At 44.6% G+C, this 22,001-nt stretch overlaps 1 pseudogene, besides 1 other annotated feature; it reads right to left on the bottom strand.

Moving 5' to 3' along the window:
• Positions 702–821: an enhancer, noted in NCBI's record as "active region_11080". NCBI's record gives its function as "activates an Ori minimal core promoter by ATAC-STARR-seq in GM12878 lymphoblastoid cells {active_cell/tissue: GM12878}" and the evidence as "EXISTENCE:reporter gene assay evidence [ECO:0000049][PMID:35858748]".
• LOC100420489 (tripartite motif containing 13 pseudogene) lies at positions 7,197–8,819 on the bottom strand (annotated as a pseudogene).

Genomic DNA, 22,001 nt, shown 5'->3' with positions numbered 1-22,001 from the left:
CCCCTATTTAAGCTATTTATATTCAGTAAACCAGGCCGGGTGTGGTGGCTCACGCCTGTAATCCCAGCACTTTGGGAGGCCAAAGCAGGTGAATCACCTGAGGTCAGGAGTTCAAGACTAGCCTGGCCAGCTTGGTGAAACCCCATCTGTACTAAAAATACAAAAATTAGTTGGGCATGGTGGCCTGTGCCTATAATTCCAGCTACATGAGAGGCTGAGGCAGGATAATCACTTGAACCCAGGCGGCAAAGGTTGCAGTGAGCCGAGATCGTGCCACTGCACTCCAGCCTGGGCAACAAAGTGAGACTCTGTCTCAAAAACACAAACAAACAAAAACTGATAAAGTAAATGTTTTTTTGTTTTTGATGTGTTTTAGGTATTTGGGGTATTTGGAAAATGATAAGTTAAACTTCAATCTGTTTTGTCCACTTCTTCCCTTTCCCTGGATTCCTACTGAATTCCATTGTTGTGTATAGATTGAATTTTTGTGATGGAAGAGCTTGAGCTGCTCTGTTGGAAGGAAAACAAAAATAAAACCCTGTTAATGCTGGTTATTTTTCTCCCTGAGCAGTCAGGAGTTGCAAACTAGCTCTCTGTGTTACCTAGTTCTCACTGGTGACATTTCTTGTCCTGTAATACAGGGAGAGGAAACTCAGGAAACTACCCCAACTCTTTTTTGACAATGCAGATCAAACCAGAGAGAAGCACTGGTAACTTGGGAAACCATGCGTGTCATAACAAGAGGAGTAGGTGGCGTCTTTCATACTGTCATGTCTTCCTGTTTGTATACTTGAGCATGTCAAGGTGTCATTTTAGGAAAGGAACTTTATCTTTGGATGCCAATGGCAGAAACAACAACAAACCAGCCAGGCGCGGTGGCTCATGCCTGTAATCCCAGCACTTCATGAGGCCAAGGCAGGCAGATCACTCGAGGTCAGGAGTTCGAGACCAGCCTGGGCAACAGGGTGAAACCCTCTCTCTACTGAAAATACAAAAATGAGCCAGGCATTGTGGCAGGTGCCTGAATCCCGGCTACTCGGGAGGCTGAGGCAGGAGAATGGCTTGAACCCAGGAGGCACAGGTTACAGTGAGCTGAGATTGCACCACTGCACTCCAGCCCCAGTGACAGAGTGAGACTCTGTTTAAAAAAAAAGAACAGCAAATCCCAAGAATACACTGAAATTGTACTAGGCCAGGTGCAGTGGCTCACACCTGTAATCCCAGCACTTTGGGAGGCCGAGGCGGGTGGATCACGAGGTCAGGAGATCGAGACCATCCTGACTAACACAGTGAAACCCCATCTCTACTAAAAATACAAAAAATTAGCCGGACGTGGTGGTACGTGCCTGTAGTCCCAGCTACTCGGGAGGCTGAGGCAGGAGAATTGCTTGAACTCAGGAGGTGGAGGTTGCAGTGAGCCGAGACCGCGCCACTGCACTCCAGCCTGGGCAACAGAGCGAGACGCTGTCTCAAAAAAAAAAAAAAAAAAGAAGGAAATTATACTGATACTCTAGAAATGTATCGGTGCCTAGTACTAGATTACATTTTTTTTCTTTTTTATTTGAGATGGAGTCTTAATCTGTCTCCCAGGCTAGAGTGCAGTGACCCAATCTTGGCTCACTGCAGCCTCTACCTCCCAGGTTCAATTGACTCTCCTGCCTCAGCCTCCCGAGTAGCTGGGATTACATGTGCCTGATACCATGCCCAGCTAAATTTTTTTTTTTTTTTTTTTTTTTTGAGACGGAGTCTCGCTCTGTCGCCCAGGCTGGAGTGCAGTGGCACGATCTCGGCTCACTGCGAGCTCCGCCTCCCGGGTTCACTCCATTCTCCTGCCTCAGCCTCCCGAGTAGCTGGGACTACAGGCACCCGACACCATGCCCGCCTAATTTTTTGTATTTTTAGTAGAGACGGGGTTTCACCGTGTTAGCCAGGATGGTCTCGATCTCCTGACCTCGTGATCCACCGGCCTCAGCCTCCCAAAGTGCTGGGATTACAGGCGTGAGCCACCGCGCCCGGCTAAATTTTGTATTTTTAATAGAGGAAGGGTTTCGCCACGTTAGTCAGGCTGGTCTAGAACTCCTGACCTCAGGTGATCCCCGCCTCAGCCTCCAAAAGAGCTGGGATTACAGGGGTGAGCCACTGTGCCTGGCCTTATGTTACTTTTCAAAAGCTTTTCTGGATATCCAAATGTAGAGATAGGCAATTCTCAAGCTTCTGTTTTAGCTACTTCTCTGAACAATTCTGTGTCCTCATTTCCACCTGCTTTTAATGTTATGTGACCTTGCCAGATTCCAAAAGGGATTTCCCTTGAAAATTCATTAATATTTTATTTAAAAGGAGGTCTTACAATTTCTCTGTAAGTGACTACTATTTCCTCTGGGGAGGGGGATCTCCATCTCTTGTATATTTCCTCAGACCCTTGCCAGTTTTTGTCAAAAACTTCCTGCAGAACTCTTACAGGTTACAGTAGAAAGAATGACCATTGGAATAAATTGAAGGAAAGCTAACCCTTATTTGCACTGTAAGAGTCATATCTGGGGAACTGGCCCACAGAGAAGCAAGTGCATTCAGGCCATTGCTGAGTGGCCAGAAGTTCCTTACAGGAGGCTTGTTGAATGAATAAATTGAGTGTGGAAAAACTGGAGCCATTCGTAATACTAATAACTTTCTCTGGGAAGCTTGCTCAGCAAGGTAACTTGTGAGCTCTTGTGTCCTGTGATGAAATGTTCAGCTCTACCTGCAAAGTTAACTTTGTAGTTAATTGGCAACTAGTTATAAATCGCCTGTAACTCCTGGGAAAAACGTGAGTAAATATTCTAGGCAGCATGGCAAGCTGCCTCTCAGATCACTGCACAGTCCTCAAGGCAATACATCGCCTAAGACCTCACTTAGCAATTTTGGAATTTAAAGGAATGTTTCTGACTTGTGAGAATGTGGTAATAATTATGATAGTGATCAACTCATTTTAAATGTTTCCAAAGACTGGAAGGGCACCGTGACTCATGCCTGTAATCCCAGCACTTTGGAAGGCTGAGGCGGGCGGATCACTCGAGGCCAGGAGTTCAAGACCAGCCTGGCCAACATGGTGAAACCCTGTCTCAACTAAAAATACAAAAATTGGCCAGGCGCGGGGGCTCATGCCTGAAATCCCAGCGCTTTGGGAGGCTGAGGTGGGTGGGATCGCCTGAGGTTAGGAGTTTGACACCAGCCTGGCCAACATGGTGAAACTCCATCTCTACTAAAAATACAAAAATTAGCTGGGTGCGGTGGTGGGAGCCTGTAATCTCAGCTACTTGGGTGGCTGAGGCAGGAGAATTGCTTGAACCCAGGAGGCGGAGGTTGCAGTGTGCTGACATCGTGCCATTGCACTCCAGCCTGGGCGACGAGCGAAACTCCATCTCAAAAAAATAAAAAATAAAAAAAATTAGACAGGCGTGGTGGCGAGAGCCTGTAATCCCAGCTACTCTGGAGGCTGAGGCAGGAGAATTGCTTGAACCTGGGAGGCGGAGGTTGCAGTGAGCCGAGATTGCACCAGTGCACTCCAGCCTGGGTGACAACGTGGGACTCCATCTCAAAAAAAAAAAAGTTTGCAAAATCTGTTCTGTATCTTGACTATCAATATCGAGATCCTGGTTGTGATATTCAACTACACCTTTGGGGAAAGCTAGAGGATATGGTACTCCAGATTTCTCTGTATTGTTTCTTACAACGTGTGAATTACATGTGAATCTACCATTGTCTCAAAATAAAAAGTTTAAATTTAAAAAAGTTTCTGAAGTTTTAAATGTAAAACAATGCCCAGGATGGGCACGGTGGCTCACGCCTGTAATCTCAGCACTTTCGGAGGCCAAGGCCGGCAGATCACAAGGTCAGGAATTCAATACCAGCCTGACCAATATGGCAAATTCCCGTGCCTACTAAAAATACAAAAATTGGCCGGGTGTGGTGGTGTGCACTGGTAATCCCAGCTACTCAGGAGGCTGAGGCAGGAGACTCTCTTGAACCCAGGAGGTGGAGGTTGCAGTGAGCCAAGATCTTGCCGCTGCACTCCAGCCTGGTCGACAGAGCGAGACTCCATCTCAAAAAAAAAACCAATGTCCAGATGTCCAGATTACTGGACTTCTCTCCACAAAGGCAGAGAACTTTTATCTGGTCAGTCTTTTAAATTATATAGCTATTAAGTTTGAGCCCTCTGGGCAAATTTCTCTGGAAGGGCTCCTTTATTTTTTTCTTTTTTCTTCTTTTTTTTTTTGAGATGGAGTCTCACTCTGTCACCCAAGTTGGAGTGCAGTGGTGCCATCTTGGCTCACTGCAAGCTCTACCTCCCGGGTTCACGCTATTCTCCTGCCTCAGCCTCCTGAGTAGCTGGGACTACAGGCGCCCGCCACCACGCCCGGCTAATTTTTTGTATTTTTAGTAGAGACGGGGTTTCACTGTGTTAGCCACGATGGTCTTGATCTCCTGACCTCTTGATCCGCCAGCCTCGGCCTCCCAAAGTGCTGGGATTACAGGCGTGAGCCACCGCGCCTGGCTCCTTTACCTTTTTTCAAACACGCACACACAATGCTATTCCTTCCATCAGGTGACAGCTCAAGTCAGAGTACACCCATGAGCAGGGGTAGTGCTGAGTGTTGTTTTTCTTAAGTTCAACTTGTTTTCTGTTGCCTTTTGCTCTTTCCTCATTCCTATGGGTCACATGAGTCATTAACCCCTCAATAAACTAAAAAACTGATGATCTCTGATTCTGAGAAAGGTTCAGGTGAAATAAATATTGCATATGTTAATTAACTGCAGTTCCCTGAGTCTACAGTTAACAGCCCTGTTGATTTATCATCATCTATTAGTAGGAAGGTAGCCGTTGCTTAGACTTTCAAATTGATTTTTGGGCTTCTTTAGCCAGGTCTTGAAGATGTTTGTGCATTATTTAGACAACAAAGACCTAAGGAAAGTATCCAAAAAACACATGAGATTTATGCAAACCCATTGGTATCCATTATTATGACCATGAACAATGAGGATGACATTGATGGTATAAACAGCCCTTGTAAATTTTAAACTGTAGGCCGGGCACGGTGGCTCAAACCTGTAATCCCAGCACTTTGGGAGGCTGAGGCAGGCAGATCATTTGAGGTCAGGAGTTCAAGACCAGCCAGGCCAACATGTTAAAATCCTGTCTCTACTAAAAATAGGAAAAAAAAAATTAGTCAGGCGTTGTAGCGCATGCCCGTAATCCCAGCTACTCTGGAGGCTGAGGCAGGAGAATCACTCGAACCCGGGAGGCAAGATCGCACCACTGCAGCCTGGACGACAGAGTGAGACTTTCTCAAAAAAACTATACATATATATTTTAAACTGCATGTCCACATGTTCTTTTATTTTATCCTGACAATCTGGGGACACATATTATCCAGATAAATATTACCCTCTTTTTACAAATGAAAAAATTTAAACGAAGCACCCAAGTGATTTGATATAAAACAAATTAGCCCTGTCTTACTGAAGTTTACTGTTTTTTTGAAAGGAGATAATAATCTTGACCTTCTATTTCTCCAGAGTTCTATTTGTAACACAGATCTATTACCTGGGCACACAATAAATGTGTGCTGATATTGGTATTGGTGTAACGGTGGCTCAGCATTTATCTGAAACAAGTCTGGTATTACCATGATTTCTTTTCCTTGAGCTGTCTAGTGCAAAGAACATTTTCCTACTTTGGATTTAGTCATGCCCCCTTTCAAGCACTGGGCCTTGTGCTTATCTCAGATCCAAATGTAATCTCATGTCAGCATGTTTTGCAGTAACAGAGTAACTCTGTCTATTCATGATTAGATGGTAAACATCACTTGTTAGGGTATGGCGGACAGACAGCATATGTAATTTGGAGGCTCACAGGTTTTCCCGGCTTGTGAAAAGACCATTTCCTCAGGACTCAGTCATCAATTGATAACACAAAGTTGTTGTTGTTGTTGTTGTTTTTTGAGATGGAGTCTTGGTCTGTCGCCCAGGCTGGAGTGCAGTGGTGCAATCTCGGCTCACTGCAAGCTCCACCTCCCGGGTTCACGCCATTCTCCTGCCTCAGCCTCCCAAGTAACTGGGACTACAGGCGCCCATCACCACACCCGACTAATTTTTTGTATTTTTAGTGGAGATGGGGTTTCGCCGTGTTAGCCAGGATGGTCTCGATCTCCTGACCTCGTGATCCACCCGCCTCGGCCTCCCAAAGTGCTGGGATTACAGGCGTGAGACACCGCACCCGGCCTACAAAGTAGAACGACTTTTTTTGTCTCAGTGGATTGGCCTGGGAGAGGTTACATTTGTTACCTTTCCAACATGACTCCACTTGTTCATTCTGTGGCATAATGTGGTTAAAAAAAAAAAAATCATAGGAATTTGCAGCCGGAAAGTTTGGCCTCAAGTTCCAATTCAACAAATTACTCCTAATCATGTGACCATGGGCAAGCCATTTAATCCACCAGAGCCTCAATTCTCTCAGCTATAAAATGCAAATAATACAAACACACAGGTGTTGCTGGGATCAAATGGAACTGTATACATACACAAACACGTTTTTCTTTTTTATTTTCTTCTTAATATAATTTTTTTCTTTTCTTTTTTTTTAAGACAGAGTTTTGGTTTGTTGTGCAGGCTGGAGTGCAGTGGCATGATCACAGCAGCCTCGATCTCCTGGGCTTAGACGATCCTCCTGCCTCAGTCTGATGAGTAGCTGGGATCACAGGTATGTATCACCATGCCAGGCTAATTTTAAAATTATTTGTAGACAGCTGGACATGGTGGTTCACGCCTGTAATCCCAGCACTTTCTTGGAAGCCGAGACAGGCAGATTGCTTGAGGCCAGGAGTTCAAGACCAGCCTGGCCAACATGGCAAAACCCTATCTCTACTAAAAATACAAAAACTAGCTGGGCGTGGTGGCAGACACCTGTAGCTGCAGCTACTCGGGACCCTAAGGCAGGAGAAATGCTTGAACCCAGGAGGCAGAGTCTCAAAATTTTGAGAATGAGGCTCAAAAAATAAATAAACAGGCCAGGCACAGTGGCACACGCCTGTAATCTCAGCTACTCGGGAGGGTGAGGCAGGAGAATCGCTTGAACCTGGGAGGCGGAGGTTGCACTGCAGCCGAGATTGCACCACTGCACTCCAGCCTGGGCGACAGAGTGAGACTCCATCTCAAAAAAGAAAAAAAAAAAAGCTCCAGGGAATCTTGTTAATGAATGTGCCAATGTGTTGAGGCAAAGAACATGTATGCACAACTACTAGTTTTATGTCCTCCCACTGACTGGTATCAAAGTTCTTCATTAGGGAACTTGTGGGCAAATTAGAGGGAGGTAAAGGAGTTTTCTTGATTACCTCCCAGAATTCCTGCATCTGTTGCAGCACATGACGGGTTCTGAAACGACTTTGATAGCTTCAGCAATGTTAAGGCCATTCACTGCTCCTGCAAGACGGTGTTGAGTTTGTTGATCTCTGGATCAGTGGTTTGCCTAATTTTAAGTTTCATTTTTTGAGGCTGGGTACAGTGGCTCATGCCTGTAATTCCAGCACTTTGGGAGGCGGAGGCGGGTGGGTCACCTGAGGTCAAGGGAGGCTGAGGCAGGAGAATCACTTGAACCTAGGAGGTGGAGGTTGCAGTGAGCTGAGACTGTGCCATTGCACTCCAGACTGGGTAACAAGAGGAAAACTCCATCTCAAAAAAAAAAAAAGTTTAATTTTTTATTTTTTGGATCCAATTCACTTGATTTAATTTTTTTTTTTTTGATAGAGTCTCGTTCTGTCACCCAGGCTGGAGTAGAGTGGCACAATCTCGGCTCACTGCAGCCTTCGCCTCCTGGTTTCAGGTGATCCTCCTGCCTCAGCCTCCCAAGTAGCTGGTACTACAGGTGCATGCCACCGTGCCTGGCTAATTTTTTTTTTTTTTGAGACGGAGTCTCACTCTGTTGCCCAGGCTGGAGTCCAGTGGCGCCATCTCGGCTCACTGCAAGCTCTGCCACCTGGGTTCATGCCATTCTCCCGCCTCAGCCTCCCGAGTAGCTGGGACTACAGGTGCCCGCCACCGTGCCCAGCTAATTTTGTTTTTGTATTTTTAGTAGACACAGGGTTTCACCGTGTTCGCCAGGATGGTCTCAATCTCCTGACCTTGTGATCCACCTGCCTCAGCCTCCCAAATCCCTCAGTGGGATTACAGGCGTGAGCCACTGCGCCCGACCTAATTTTTGTATTTTTAGTGGAGACGAGGTTTCACCATGTTGGCCAGGCTGGTCTTGAACTCCTGACCTCAAGTGACCCACTCGCCTCGACCTCCCAAAGGGCTGGGATTACAGGTGTGAGCCACTGCACCCGGCCTTTATTTCAATTCTTTAATACTTTACTTAAATATTTTAATCAGTAACTTGCTAGTCTCCATGGTATTCAGGCGAGAAAGAACATCTCCCCAACGCCAGTTCTCAAAACTCTAAAAGAGGGATTCAAAGGCATAGCCATTTCTTTTCTGAGCATGAACTTCTTCAATAGAACAGAAGACAATGCTTGGTGTGGTCAACACCAGTAGCACGGATTCCACAGATTAGCTGTGTATCAGTCAGCCCGAGAATGCTCAGAGGTACTCCAGATGTCCTTTGAACACTGGCATTTTAGAAGAGATCTTGATCTAGTTATATTTTCTTCAAACCCTTCAGGGAGTAATTAACCTGCAGGCTGTTGACTCCAGTTGCTGAAGTTTCCTTACAGCACCCCAGGGCACTTGACTGAATGGAGGTAGTCTCCACAATGAATTCTGCACATTCTCCTTTAAGCTACCTTGTATTAGAGTTCTCTCAGAGGGGCAGAACTAATAGTTTTTATATATGGGAGTTTATTAAGTATTAACTTACATGATCACAAGGTCCCACAACAGGCTGTCTGCAAGCTGAGGAGCAAGGAGAGCCAGTCCGAGTCCCAAAACTGAAGAACTTGGAGTCTGATGTTTGAAGGCAGGAAGCATCTTGCTCGGGAGAAAGATGTAGGCTGGGATGCTAGGCCCATCTCTCCTTTTCACGTTTTTCTACCTGCTTTATATTCGCTGGCAGCTAATTAAACTGTGCCCACCAGATCAAGGGTGGGTCTGCCTTCCCCAGCCCACTGACTCAGATGTTAATCTCTTTTGGCAACACCCTCACAGACACACCCAGCATCAATACTTTGTATCCTTCAATCAAGTTGATTCTCAGTATTAATCATCCCATGCCTTCTAAGCATTTTTTTTTCCCGGAAGTTGTGCAAGTAAGCCAAAACTCAAGGATATCAAACAGACTGTAACAAATTGGGCATATGAGATCTTTCAGCACCTCCATCACATACTTTGTCCCCTGCCAACAGATGTATTCAGCAGGGTTACCATCTCCCAGGGCAAAGCAATCACATTTATCTCCAGATCTAGACAAAAGAATTGTGGTGTCTCTCCTTTCAGTCCCTATGTATGTAACTATATGTAACATACACAAGTGTGTAGACACAGGTATATTAATGTATAGGTTTATGTTTCAATTTTAGTTTTTAAAACTGATTTAACATTATATTGTGAGCATTGTCCATGGACTACTCTTGAAGCAAGGAAAAGAGGGAAACATAAGGCCCTGAATTTCATAATATCATGCTTTCCTTAGGGAACTAGATTCTTGTCTGGCTGAATCTATATCTATACTAATCTGGGCAGTTGTCAATTGCACGTAGAGTTGCCTCAGTTGAACTGAGTTTGACCAGTTCTAACTCTCTGCACCATAATTGTTTTTTGTTTGTTTTTAGGCAGGGTCTCACTCTGTCACCCAGGCTGGAGTGCAGTTGTGCGATCTCGGCTCACTGCAACCTCCGCCTCCCAGGCTCAAGTGATCCTCCCACCTCAGCCTCCCAAGTAGCTAGAACCACAGGTGCACGCCAACACGCCCTGCCAAATTTTGTATTTTTTGTAGAGACAGGGTTTTGCCATGTTGCCCAGGCTGGTCTCAAACTCCTGAGCTCAAGCGATCTGCCCACCTTGGCCTCCCAAAGAGTTGGGATTACAGGCGTGAGCCACCGTGCCTGGTGTGTCTGTGCTGTAATTGTATATGAGGGTATTCCTAGTGTTACTTGTTTGGAATTGTAGGATTATTTGGGGAATCCTTTTTTCTGTTAAGGGATAACCAAAAAGTATTTCCTTTTATTAGTCTTTTTAAAAAGTGAAACATAAATACTTTATTATGGCAATGGTATAAAAACTAAATAAGCTTTAACTAAAAACAAAACAAAACTTAAAAAGTGAGTTTGTTTAGAATTAAAGGTTTTTTTTTTTTGTTTTCTGTTTTTTGTTTTTGACAAGCCTTGCTCTGTTGCCCAGGCTGGAGTGCAGTGGCATGATCTCGAGTCACTGCAACTTCCACCTCCTGGGTTCAAGCGATCCTCCCATCTCAGCCTCCAAAGTAGCCAGGACTACAGGCACACACCACCACACTGGGCTAATTTTTTGTATTTTTTTGTAAAGATGGGGTTTTGCCATGTTGCCCAGGCTGGTCTTGAACTCCTGGGCTCAAGTGATCCACCCACCTCAGCCTCCCAAAATTCTGGGATTATAGGTGTGAGCCACCGCACCTGGCCCCAGTTGTTCTTCGTCTAAAACAAATTCATCATAACTGATGAATCTTGCCTTTCTTTCTTTCTTGGTGATGATTTGCTGCAGGTATCTAATCAGCTGTGTGCTAAATACAGCCAAGAATATAATCAATGAGATTGGAATTGTCAGCTCTCAAGTAGTACCATTTCTGGAGACACTTATTTTTTCTTTTCTCTTTTTCTTTCTTTCTTTCTTCTTCTTCTTCTTCTTCTTCTTCTTCTACTTCTTCTTCTTCTTCTTCTTCTTCTTCTTCTTCTTCTTCTTCTTCTTCTTCTTCTTCCTCTTCTTCCTCTTCTTCTTCTTTTCTTCTTTTCTTTTCTTTTTTTTTTTTTTTTGAGACAGAGTCTCACTCTTTTGCCCAGGCTGGAGTGCAATGGCACGATCTCATCTCACTGCAACCTCTGCCTCCTGGGTTCAAGTGATTCTCCTGCCTCAGCCTCCAGAGTAGCTGGGATTACAGGCACTCGGTACCACACCTGGCAAATTTTTTTGTATTTTTAGTAGAGACGGGGTTTTACCATGTTGGCTATGCTGGTCTCAAACTCCTGACCTCAAGTGACCCACCTGCCTTAGCCTCCCAAAGTGCTGGGATTGCAAGAGTGAACCACCACCCCAGTGACACATACTTTTTCTAAATGAAGAAGTCTCAGAAAAGCTGAGCAACTCAGAACACATAATTTGGTGCAGACGGAAAAATGTATAGAAATAAGTTTTGCATTGGAGGCAAAGCAACTTGGATAAAGGTCTCAAACTAGAGAATTGAACTTTATAAAAAAGCTAATGCCACCAGGCATGGTGGCTCACGCCTGTAATCCCAGCACTTTAGGAGGCTGAGGTGGGAGGATCACTTGAGGTCAGGAGTTCAAGACCAGCCTGGCCAACATGATGAAACCCCATCTCTATTAAAAATACAAAAAATTGGGCCGGGCGCAGTGGCTCACACCTGTAATCCCAGCACTTTGGGAGGCCGAGGCAGGTGGATCACGAGGTGAGGAGATCGAGACCATCCTGGCGAACATGGTGAAACCCCATCTCTACTAAAAATACAAAAAAATTAGCCAGGCGTGGTGGCGGGTGCCTGTAGTCTCAGCTACTCGGGAGGCTGAGGCAGGAGAATGGCATGAACCTGGGAGGCGGAGCTTGCAGTGAGGGGAGATCGTGCCACTGCACTCCAGCCTGGGCAACAGAGCGAGACTCCGGCTCAAAAATAAATAAATACGTAAATAAATAAAATAAAAATACAAAAAATTAGCTGGACGTGGTGGCAGGCGCCTGTAATCCCAGCTACTCAGGAGGCTGAGGCAGGAGAATCGCTTGAACCCGGGAGGTGCAGGTTGCAGTGAGCCGAGATTGTGCCATTGCACTCCAGCCTGGGCAACAGAGTGAGACTCTGTCTCAAAAAAAAAAAAAAAAAAAAAAAAAAAAGCTAAAGCCAAGAAAACTGAGCTGATTTCTTTTTTAAGAAAGTACACATTGGCCGGGTGCAGTGGCTCACGCCTGTAATCCCAGCACTTTGGGAGGCTGAGGCAGGTGGATCACGAGGTCAAGAGATAGAGACCATCCTGGCCAACATGGTGAAACCCCGTCTCTACTAAAACTACAAAAATTAGCCAGGCGTGGTGGTGCATGCCTGTAATCCTAGCTACTCAGAAGGCCGAGGCAGGAGAATCGCTTGAACCTGGAAGGTGGAGGTTGCAGTGAGCTGAGATCATACCACTGCACTCCAGCCTGGAGGACAGAGCGAGATTCCATCTCAGGAAAAAAAAAAAAGAAAAAAAAGAAAGTACATATTTGACTAAATGTAACTGGCTTAGTAATATAAAGGAAGCTAATGAAATTTAGAAGTTTCGACTTTTGAACATCTGACATCATGACCACATTTACATAATTCAAAACTGACATTCAATGGAACACAGAGACCTGGCCACAGCAGTTGCTTCAGGCTGGTGGACATTTTTTGTCATTCAGGGTGTCCATTCTGATTGGTTAGTGCCATGTAGTACTGGTTCTTGAATATATTTACTGTCACCCTTGACATAATTCAAATACTTATCACAAAATCAGAACTGTTGATTCAAAGTTTGGATTTTTTTTGAGACAGAGTCTTGCTCTGTAGCCCAGGCTGGAGTGCAGTGGTGCGATCTCAGCTCACTGCTGTATTTTTAGTAGAAACAGGGTCTCGCCATGTTGGCCAGACTGGTCTTGAAATCCTAGCCTTAGGTGATCCACCCACCTCGGCCTCCCAAAGTGCCGAGATTACAGGCGTGAGCCACCACGCCCGGCCTTTTCTTATGTTCACTTTCTTCCTCATATTCTGCTTGGTTTGAAGTTCTCTAACTCTGGAATAGGGCTGTCTTATACATTCACAAGCAAGGCCCCTTTTTGTTGCTAAATTATACATCATCTAAAAAAAATATACAGTAGTCCCTGCTTATCCGTGGGGAACACTACCAAAACCCCCATTGGATGCCTGAAACTGCAGATAATACCAAACCTGAGTAAGTTTCTGTACATGTTTCCCACCCCCAAAATTAAGGCTTTTTCCATCCTCACTAAGCATTTATCACGCTCTACGACCAAAAGTTTTGCAGTTTGTTTGAGCTGCGACAGGCAAACTAGCATGAATTTCTTTTTCCTTCTTCACAATTTCACAAATAGAAGATTTGTTCTTGGCTGAGCATGGTAGCTGACACCTGTAACCCTAGCATTTTGGGAGGCCAGGCAGGTGGATCGCTTGAGCCCAGGAGTTAGAGACCAGCCTGGGCAACATGGTGAAACCTAAACCCTGTCTCTACCAAAAATTAATTTTTAAAATATTAGCCAGCTGTGGTGGCACGTGCCTGTAGTCTCAGCTACTCAGGAGGCTGAGGTGGGAGGATACCTTAAGCCTGGGAGGCAGAGGTTGCAGAAAGCCGAGGTCCTGCCACTGAACTTCAGCCTGGGTGACAGCGAGACCCTGTCTCAAAAAAAAAGAAAAAAAAAAAAAAGATTCATGCTACCCATAGATCTTTGCTCTTTGCAACCTTACCGTATGATTTTTTTTCTATCCTTACACTTTTTTTTTTTTTTTTTTTTTGAGACGGAATTTTGCTCTTGTCCCCCAGGCTGGAGTGCAATGGCATGATCTTGGCTCACTGCAACCTCCACCTCCCGGGTTCAAGTGATTCTCCTGCCTCAGCCTCCCGAGTAGCTGGGATTACAGGCGTGCACCACCATGCCCAGCTAATATTTGTATTTTTAGTAGAGATGAGGTTTCACCATATTGGCCAGGATGGTCTTGATCCCCTGACCTTGTGATCCACCCTCCTTGGCCTCCCAAAGTGCTGGGATTACAGGTGTGAGCCACCATGTCCGGCCCATGGTAAGTACTTTTAAGATGGGAAAATTGACTTAAAGCTGAGGTTTTTATTGTGCACTGAAAGATTTTTTTCTACTTAGTCATGTGGCTTCTAGAGTAGCTCTGGAAGAATTGTAAAGCAGGTAAAATTTGTACTTTTTCTCTGCCCACATACTATTCCTAACAGACCCTTATAAGTGGTTAACAATAGAGTAGAAAACAAAAAAACGAAGGTACCTAAAAGTGTTATATCCAGAAGTGTGTGAAACATTTTTAGTTCTTTTCTCCCCCATCCTCTAATAAAAATACAAAAAAAAAAAAATTAGCTGGGCATGGTGGCGCATGCCTGTAATTCCGGCTACTTGGGAGGCTGAGGCAGGAGAATCGCTTGAACCCAGGAGGCAGAGGTTATGGTGAGCTGAGATCACACCATTGCACTCCAGCCTGGGCAACAAGAGCGGAACTCCTTCTAAAAAAAAAAAAAAGAAAAAAGAAAGAAGAGTATGGGTTCAGGAGTGAAACGATACATATTCAAATCCTTGCTCCACCATATATTAACTGTGAGACCTCAGGCCAAGTGTCAACAACTCAGTTTTCTGGGTTGGGGATAATAATATTTCCTAACTCATAAGTTTGTTGAGATGACTCAATTAGCTAATACACATAAGGAACTTAAATGCAATGCCTGGAACATAACAAATGTAATCAAATTTTGCTTTTGCTTTTTTTTCATTGTAATCATTATCATGGGGGTGAATTAAGCTTCCAGAAGATGGTCATGAACTGTCTTAGGACAAGAGAGATTTTCCCCTAATGCATCTCACATCATTCCATGTAGGGAGCTACTTGTTTTAGTGATTGATTAAGCTGTCTCTGGTGACTTCTTTATAAAGGATGGCTTCATACTTGGGTGCCAAACTTCTGCTTAGTGCAGGCATGAAGCAAAAAGTCTGTTCCATCTCCTGTGTTCCCACTGCTCTGCTTTCAGATTGCTGGATGTATCATGTTGGATTCCAGAGAATGGGGCACATTTATCTTTGCTGATGATGGTTTCCTGATAGGGATTCTTTTACTCTTGTTCTCTTCCAAAGAATTATATAGCTTTTTGAAAAATGACACATTGTATACATTTAAACAATACAGAAAGGGACTTTAAAGCAGTAAAAGACATATGAAATGCCACTAGAGATGTGCTCAAGGGCTTAGTCTTTGGACCTCTTCCCAACTCTTGAGCTGACTTCATCCAACCACATGTTTTTCAATACCTTCTTTATGGTGGGGGCTTCTACATGTATAGCATTACCTAAGGCTTCTCAGTTTATATGAGCTCCAGGTTCATATATCCTCCTGCCTTCTTGACATCTTCACTTGAGTGTTTCATAGACATCACCAACTTAACACGTCCCAAAGTGCTCTCACCCCTTCCAAAATATCTACCTATTCTACCGTTAATGGTAATTCTATGCTACGACAAAAATACTCATATCTTCCTTGATTCTTCCCTTTCTCTCAACCCCTACCCATCCAGGCTGGAGTGCAGTGGTGCAATCTTGGCTCACTGCAACCTTTGCCTCCTGGGTTCAAGTGATTCTCGTGCCTCAGCCTCCCAAATAGCAGGAATTACAGGCACACGCCACCTCGCCCAGCTGATTTTTTTATTTTTAGTAAAGACAGGGTTTCACCATGTTGGCCAGGCGGTCTTCAACTCCTGACCTCAAGTGATCCACCTGTCTCGGCCTCCCAAAGTGCTGGGGTTACAGACATGAGCCACTGCACCTGGCCTCCAGTGCCTTTTCATTTCTTTTTTTTTTTCTTTGAGATAGAGTCTCACTCTGTCACCCACACTGGAGTGCAGTGGCTCAATTTCAGCTCACTGCAACCTCTGCCTCCTGGGTTCAAGCAATTCTCCTGCCTCAGCCTCCTGAGTAGCTGGGATTACAGGCGACTGCCACCACACCCAGCTAATTTTTTATATTTTTGGTAGAGATGGGGTTTCACCATGTTGGCCAGGCTGGTCTCGAACTCCTGACCTCAAGTGATCCACCCATCTCCACCTCCCAAAGTGCTGGCATTACAGACGTGAGCCACCACACTTGGCCATATTTCACTTAGAATAATAGGCAAAGTCTTTCCCACAACCCATACCTTCCCTCCCCATCACTCTGACTTCATTCCCCCCAACCTTCCTCCTTGTTTACTCTGCCTTAGCCACACTGGCCACTTTATGCTTCTTCAAATGCCCAAGAACATTCCAACGTCAGGGCCTTTGTATCTCCTTCCGGTATTCTGTGTTCTCTAGATATCTGCCTCGTTCCTCCCTTACTTCCTGGAAGTCTATACTTAAATGTTCTCTTCTCTGTGAGGCCCTCCCTGGCTATCTTCTCTAAAATGTCAACCTCCTCCCTCTTCTCTGCTATTTTTTTTTTCCTCTGTAGCACTTATCTCTAGCTCACATCTTGCATAGTTCACTTAGTGATCGTGTTGATTATTCGTCTCCCCCACTAGAATGTCAGCTCCATGAGGGCAGGGACTTTTGTCACAGTTGCATCCCCAGCCCTGTTCCTGTCTGTTCATTTTGTCAAATGAATGAATAAATCTGGAGTTTACCACTGCTAAAGTTTAATAAACTTTCTTGTAGACCTATCTATTCGTATTTACAGTTAGCTCTTAACTGTTTGTGTGCTAGTGTCTAACCTCATAGGTACTGAAAACATAGGCATGGAAAGAGAGAGAAGGAAGAAGCCTGTGGACTGGAAGGCCCAAAGTTTGCTTTTAATTCTCATTGACTAGACTATAAGCTTCATGAGGGCAGGAACCATGTCTCTTTGCTCACCATTTCTTCCCCAGGGAGTCCAGGAATGTTTGGCATGTAGTAAGCGTGCAATAAACCAATGTGTAAAAGATAGAGAACCTGGCCAGGTGCAGTGGCTCACACCTGTAATCCCAGCACTTTGGGAGGCCGAGGTGGGTGGATCACCTGAGGTCGGGAGTTCGAGACCAACCTAACCAACATGGAGAAACCCCGTCTCTACTAAAAATACAAAATTAGCCAGGCGTGGTGGTGCATGCCTGTAATCCCAGCTACTTCGGAGGCTGAGGCAGGAGAATTGCTTGAACTTGGGAGGCAGAGGTTGTGGTGAGCCAAGATCATGGCATTGCATTCCAGCCTGGGCAACAAGAGCAAAACTCTGTCTGAAAAAAAAAAAAATATTGAGAACCTAGTGGAATTCTTTCTCTCTTGTAAGGCTGAAGCCCCAGCAGACCTGGTCAATATTGGATTTACTGATGATGTCAAGAAAGATGGCCGTGGCAGAGGAGGTGGTACTGAAGTAGGAACTGGTGATCAACTTAGGGTATCAACACTATGTGCACCAGGACCCTTACATGTCATCTCCAGCCCTTTGTTGCTCTGTCCTTCCTCCTAAAAGATCAGTATGGATAGGGAAACAAAATCTGGAAGGATACTTGGGTAGTGCCAAAATACGTTTTTTTTTTTGGTTGTTGTTGTTTTGAGATTGAGTCTTGCTCTGTTGCCTAGGCTGGAGTGCAGTGGTGTGATCTCAGCTCACTACAACCTTTGCCTCCCGGGTTCAAGTGATCCTCCCACCTCAGCCACCCAAGTAGCTGGATTACAGGTGCACTCCATCACGCCCAGCTGATTTTCGTATTTTTTGTAGAGATGGGGTTTCACCATCTTGGTCAGGCTGGTCTTGAACTCCTGACCTCAAGTGATCTGTCCGCCTCAGCCTCCCAAAGTTCTGGGATTTACAGGCATGAGCCACTGCGCCCAGCCACATTTTTTTTTTTTTTTGAGACAGGGTCTCACTCTGTTGCCCAGGCTGGGGTTCAGTTGCGTGTTCTTGGCTCACTGTAACCTCTGCCTTTCAGACTCAAGCAATCCTCTCATCTCAGTCTCCTGAGTAACTTGGACCACAGATGCACACTACCGTGCCCAGCTAATTTTAAAAATTTTTTATAGAGATAAGGTCTCATTATGTTTCCCAGGCTGGTCTCTGAACTCCTGAGCTCAAGTGATTCTCCCTCCTTGGCCTCTCAAAGTGCTGGGATTACAAGTGTGAGCCACTGCACCCAGCCAAAAATACATTTCTTTTTCTTCTTTTTTTTTTTTTTTTTGAGATGGAGTCTCACTCTGTCACCTAGGCTAGAGTGCAGTGGCGCGATCTTTGCTCACTGCGACCTCTGCCTTCTGGGTTCAACAAATTCTCCTGCCTCAGCCTCCCGAGCAGCTGAGACTACAGGCATGCGCCAGCACGCCCAGCTAATTTTTGTATTTTCAGTAGAGACATGGTTTCACCATATTGGCCAGGCTGATCTTGAACTCCTGACATCATGATCCGCCTGCCTCGGCCTCCTGAAGTGCTGGGATTATAGGCATGAGGCACTGTACCCGGTCTGATCTTTGCAATGTTTTTAAGGATGGAGGGATATTTGCAATCATTTAGCTGATATGTGATATATTTTTACACTTAAATCATAAGAAAACAAGGCTATAGTCTCTCATCAACCTCTTAACAATAAAACAGTACAGACTGCAGAGAACATTTTTATGAGCTGGACAAATTTGAAAGTCTTTAATGTACAGTGATTTAGACTCATGTTTTAGATTAGATATATTCAATTCATATAATATGGAAAACAATTTACTTTTATGTTGAAAATAGTATTAAGTCCAGGTGCAGTGACTCACGCCTGTAATCCCAGCACTTTGGGAGGTGGAGGCGGGTGGATCACCTGAGGTCAGGAGTTCAAGACCAGCCTGGTCAACATGGTGAAACCCATCTCTACTAAAAATACAAAATTAGCCTGGCATGGTGGCACATACCTGTAATCCTAGCTACTCGGGAGGCTGAGGCAGGAGAATCATTTGAATCCAGGAGGCGGAGGTTGCATTGAGCCGAGAGCGCATCATTGCACTCCAACCTGGGCAACAAGAGTGAAACTCTGTCTCAAAAAAAAAAAGAAAAAGAAAAAAGAAAGAAAATAGTATTAAAACTTTGGGTGGGTATGGGGGCTCACACCTATAATCTCAGCATTTTGCGATGCCAAGGCAAGAGAATCATTTGAGCCCAAGAGTTTGAGACCAGCCTTGGCGACATGGGGAAACTTCATTTCTACAAAATATAAAAATAAATTAGCTGGACGTGATGGTGTGTTCCTGTGGTCCCAGCTATTCTGGGGTCTGAGGTGGGAGGATCTTGAACCCAAGGGGTCAAGGTTGCAGTGAGCCACGATCGCATCACTGCACTCCAGCCCTCGTGACAGAGCAAGACCTTTTCTCAATAAAAAAGAAAACCTCACAAAATATGTATACATAAATCTGAAGAGGTCAAATAAATAAAAACTAAAGAGCTGTAGGCACTAATTTTCTTCACTTTTTCTTCCTTCAGCATAAAGAGAACTTCTTTGATTACTTTGCTAGGCTTTTTTTGTTTGTTTGTTTGTTTTTACTTCAAAATTTTCCTCATTACTTGCTAGGCATTTCTGAGCCTGAAGCTCTTTTTCTGAGACTTTATATTTCAGACATAATCCAAGTCTGATTTTCTTGTTGAAATTATTTGTCTCAACCACACCTTGTATATTGCTCAGCTTCTATTCTCGAAAGTCGAGTCCTCTGATTTAAAAATAAAACAAAGAAAACTTTATTAAGGAAAATTTTAGATACTGCCTTTATAAAATTAGTATTACATATGAACTCCCATGTACCTATCATTCAGTTTCAATAGTTATCAATATTCTGCTGCTCTTATTTCATCTATCTCTTCTCAACTTTTCTTTTCTTTTCCTTTTTTTTTCTTGAGTTGGAGTTTCGCCCTGTCACCCAGGCTGGAGTGCAGTGGTGCCATCTCGGTTCACTGCAAGCTCCACCTCCCGGGTTCACACTATTCTCCTGCCTCAGCCTCCCGAGTAGCTAGGACTACAGGCACCTACCACCACGCCTGGCTAATTTTTGTATTTTTAGTAGAGACAGGGTTTCACTGTGTTAACCAGGATGATCTCGATCTCCTGACCTCGTGATCCACCCGCCTTAGCCTCCCAAAGTGCTGGGATTACATGCGTGAGCCACCGCGCCCGGACTCTTCTTAACTTTTCTGGGGGAGAAAGCAGAGGAAGAATTTAAGCAAATGTGAGAAATTATATAATTGCAACTGTAAATACTTCATTACATATCTCTAACACATATCCTTTGTTTAACATAAAACAATGTCATTATTCTCATTATAATGAAAATAAGTCCTGGCCAGGCACGGTGGCTCACACCTGTAATCCCAGCACTTTGGGAGGCTGAGGCGGGTGGATCATGAAGTCAGGAGTTCAAGACCAACCTGTCCAACATGGTGGAACCCTGTTTCTACTAAAAATACAGAAATTAGCTGGGCGTGGTGGTGCGCGCCTGTAATCCCAGCTACTCAGGAGGCTGAGGCAGGAGAATTGCTTGAACCCGGAAGGCGGAGGTAGCAGTGAGCCGAGATCACACCATTGCATCCCAGCCTGGGTGACAAGAGTGAGACTCCATCTCAAAATAAATAAATAAATAAAATAAAATATAAATAAAAGAAGTCCTTAATATCATATAATATTCATCTATATATTAAATTTATCCAACTGTCAAAAATGAATTTTGCAGTTATTTTGTGAAATCAAGATCCAAAAAGATCCACATATTGTATTTGGTTGATATGTATCTGAAGTCTTTTAATCTTCAACACTTCCTTTTTTTCCCATTACTCCTTTTCCCCTCTCTGTTTATTTATTGGAGAAGGTGCCTTCTGATTTTTTTTTTTTTTTTTTTTTGAGATGGAGTTTTGCTCTTGTTGCCCAGGCTGGAGTGCAATGGCGCAATCTCGGCTCACTGCAACCTCTGCCTCCTGGGTTCAAGCGATTCTCCTGCCTCAGCGTCTCGAGTAGCTGGGATTACAGGCATGTGCCACCATGCCCGGCTAATTTTGTATTTTTAGTAGAGACGGGGTTTCTCCATGTTGGTCAGACTGGTCTTGAACTCCCGACCTCAGGTGATCCGCCTGCCTCAGCCTCCCAAAGTGCTAGGATTACAGGTGTGAGCCACTGCGCCCGGCCGCCTCCTCTGATTTTATTAAACAAACATCTTTCACAAATAGCATCTCCAGGTTCAAAGACAAAACATTTCCTGGGTTCTTATATGAGGCCATACATGACAGAAGCAGCAAGACCTATGGTCACTCTAAGGCTAATTGTTAGAAAGCACTAAAAAAAAAACTTCACCCCAAACAGGCCAGGCGCGGTGGCTCACGCCTGTAATCCCAGCACTTTGGGAGGCTGAGGCGGGCGGATCTCGAGGACAGGAGATTGAGACCATCCTGGCTAACACAGTGAAACCCCGTCTCTACTAAAAATACAAAAACAAAATTAGCCGGGCATGGTGGCGGGTGCCTGTAGTCCCAGCTACTCGGGAGGCTGAGGCAGGAGAATGGCATGAACCTGGGAGGCGGAGCTTGCAGTGAGCCAAGGTGGCAGCACTGCACTCCAGCCTGGGGACAGAGGCAGACTCCATCTCAAAAAAAAAACAAAAAACAAAAAAACTTCACCCCAAACAGGAAGGAAGCTCGACTGTGATAATGGGTAACTAAATTTCTATTCATTTTAAGAGATATTTATTGAAGGCCTACTATGTGCGAAATATGCATTTGTAACACAAACCAATTACTTCCCAGTGATCTTTTTTCTTTTCTTTTCTTTTTTTTTTTTTGAGGCAGGGTCTTGCTCTGTTGCCCAGGCTGGAGTGCAGTGGCACAGTCTTGGCTTACTGCAACCTCTGCCTCCCGAGTAGCTGGGATTACAGGTGCGCGACACCATGCCCAGTTAATTTTTGTATTTTTAGTGGAGACGGGGTTTCACCATGTTGGCCAGGCTGGTCTGGAACTCCTGACTTCAGATATCTGCCCTCCTCTACTTCCCACCAGTGATCTTTTTTCTTTCAGAATGATGACTGGAAGAATGATTTCCTTCCTTCATTGGTTCCTGGTAATTA

Source organism: Homo sapiens, chromosome 16, assembly GCF_000001405.40.
Source record: "Homo sapiens chromosome 16, GRCh38.p14 Primary Assembly".
NCBI lineage: Eukaryota > Metazoa > Chordata > Mammalia > Primates > Hominidae > Homo > Homo sapiens.
The sequence above is the reverse complement of the archived record's forward strand: the minus strand, read 5'-3'. Positions and strand labels throughout refer to the sequence as shown.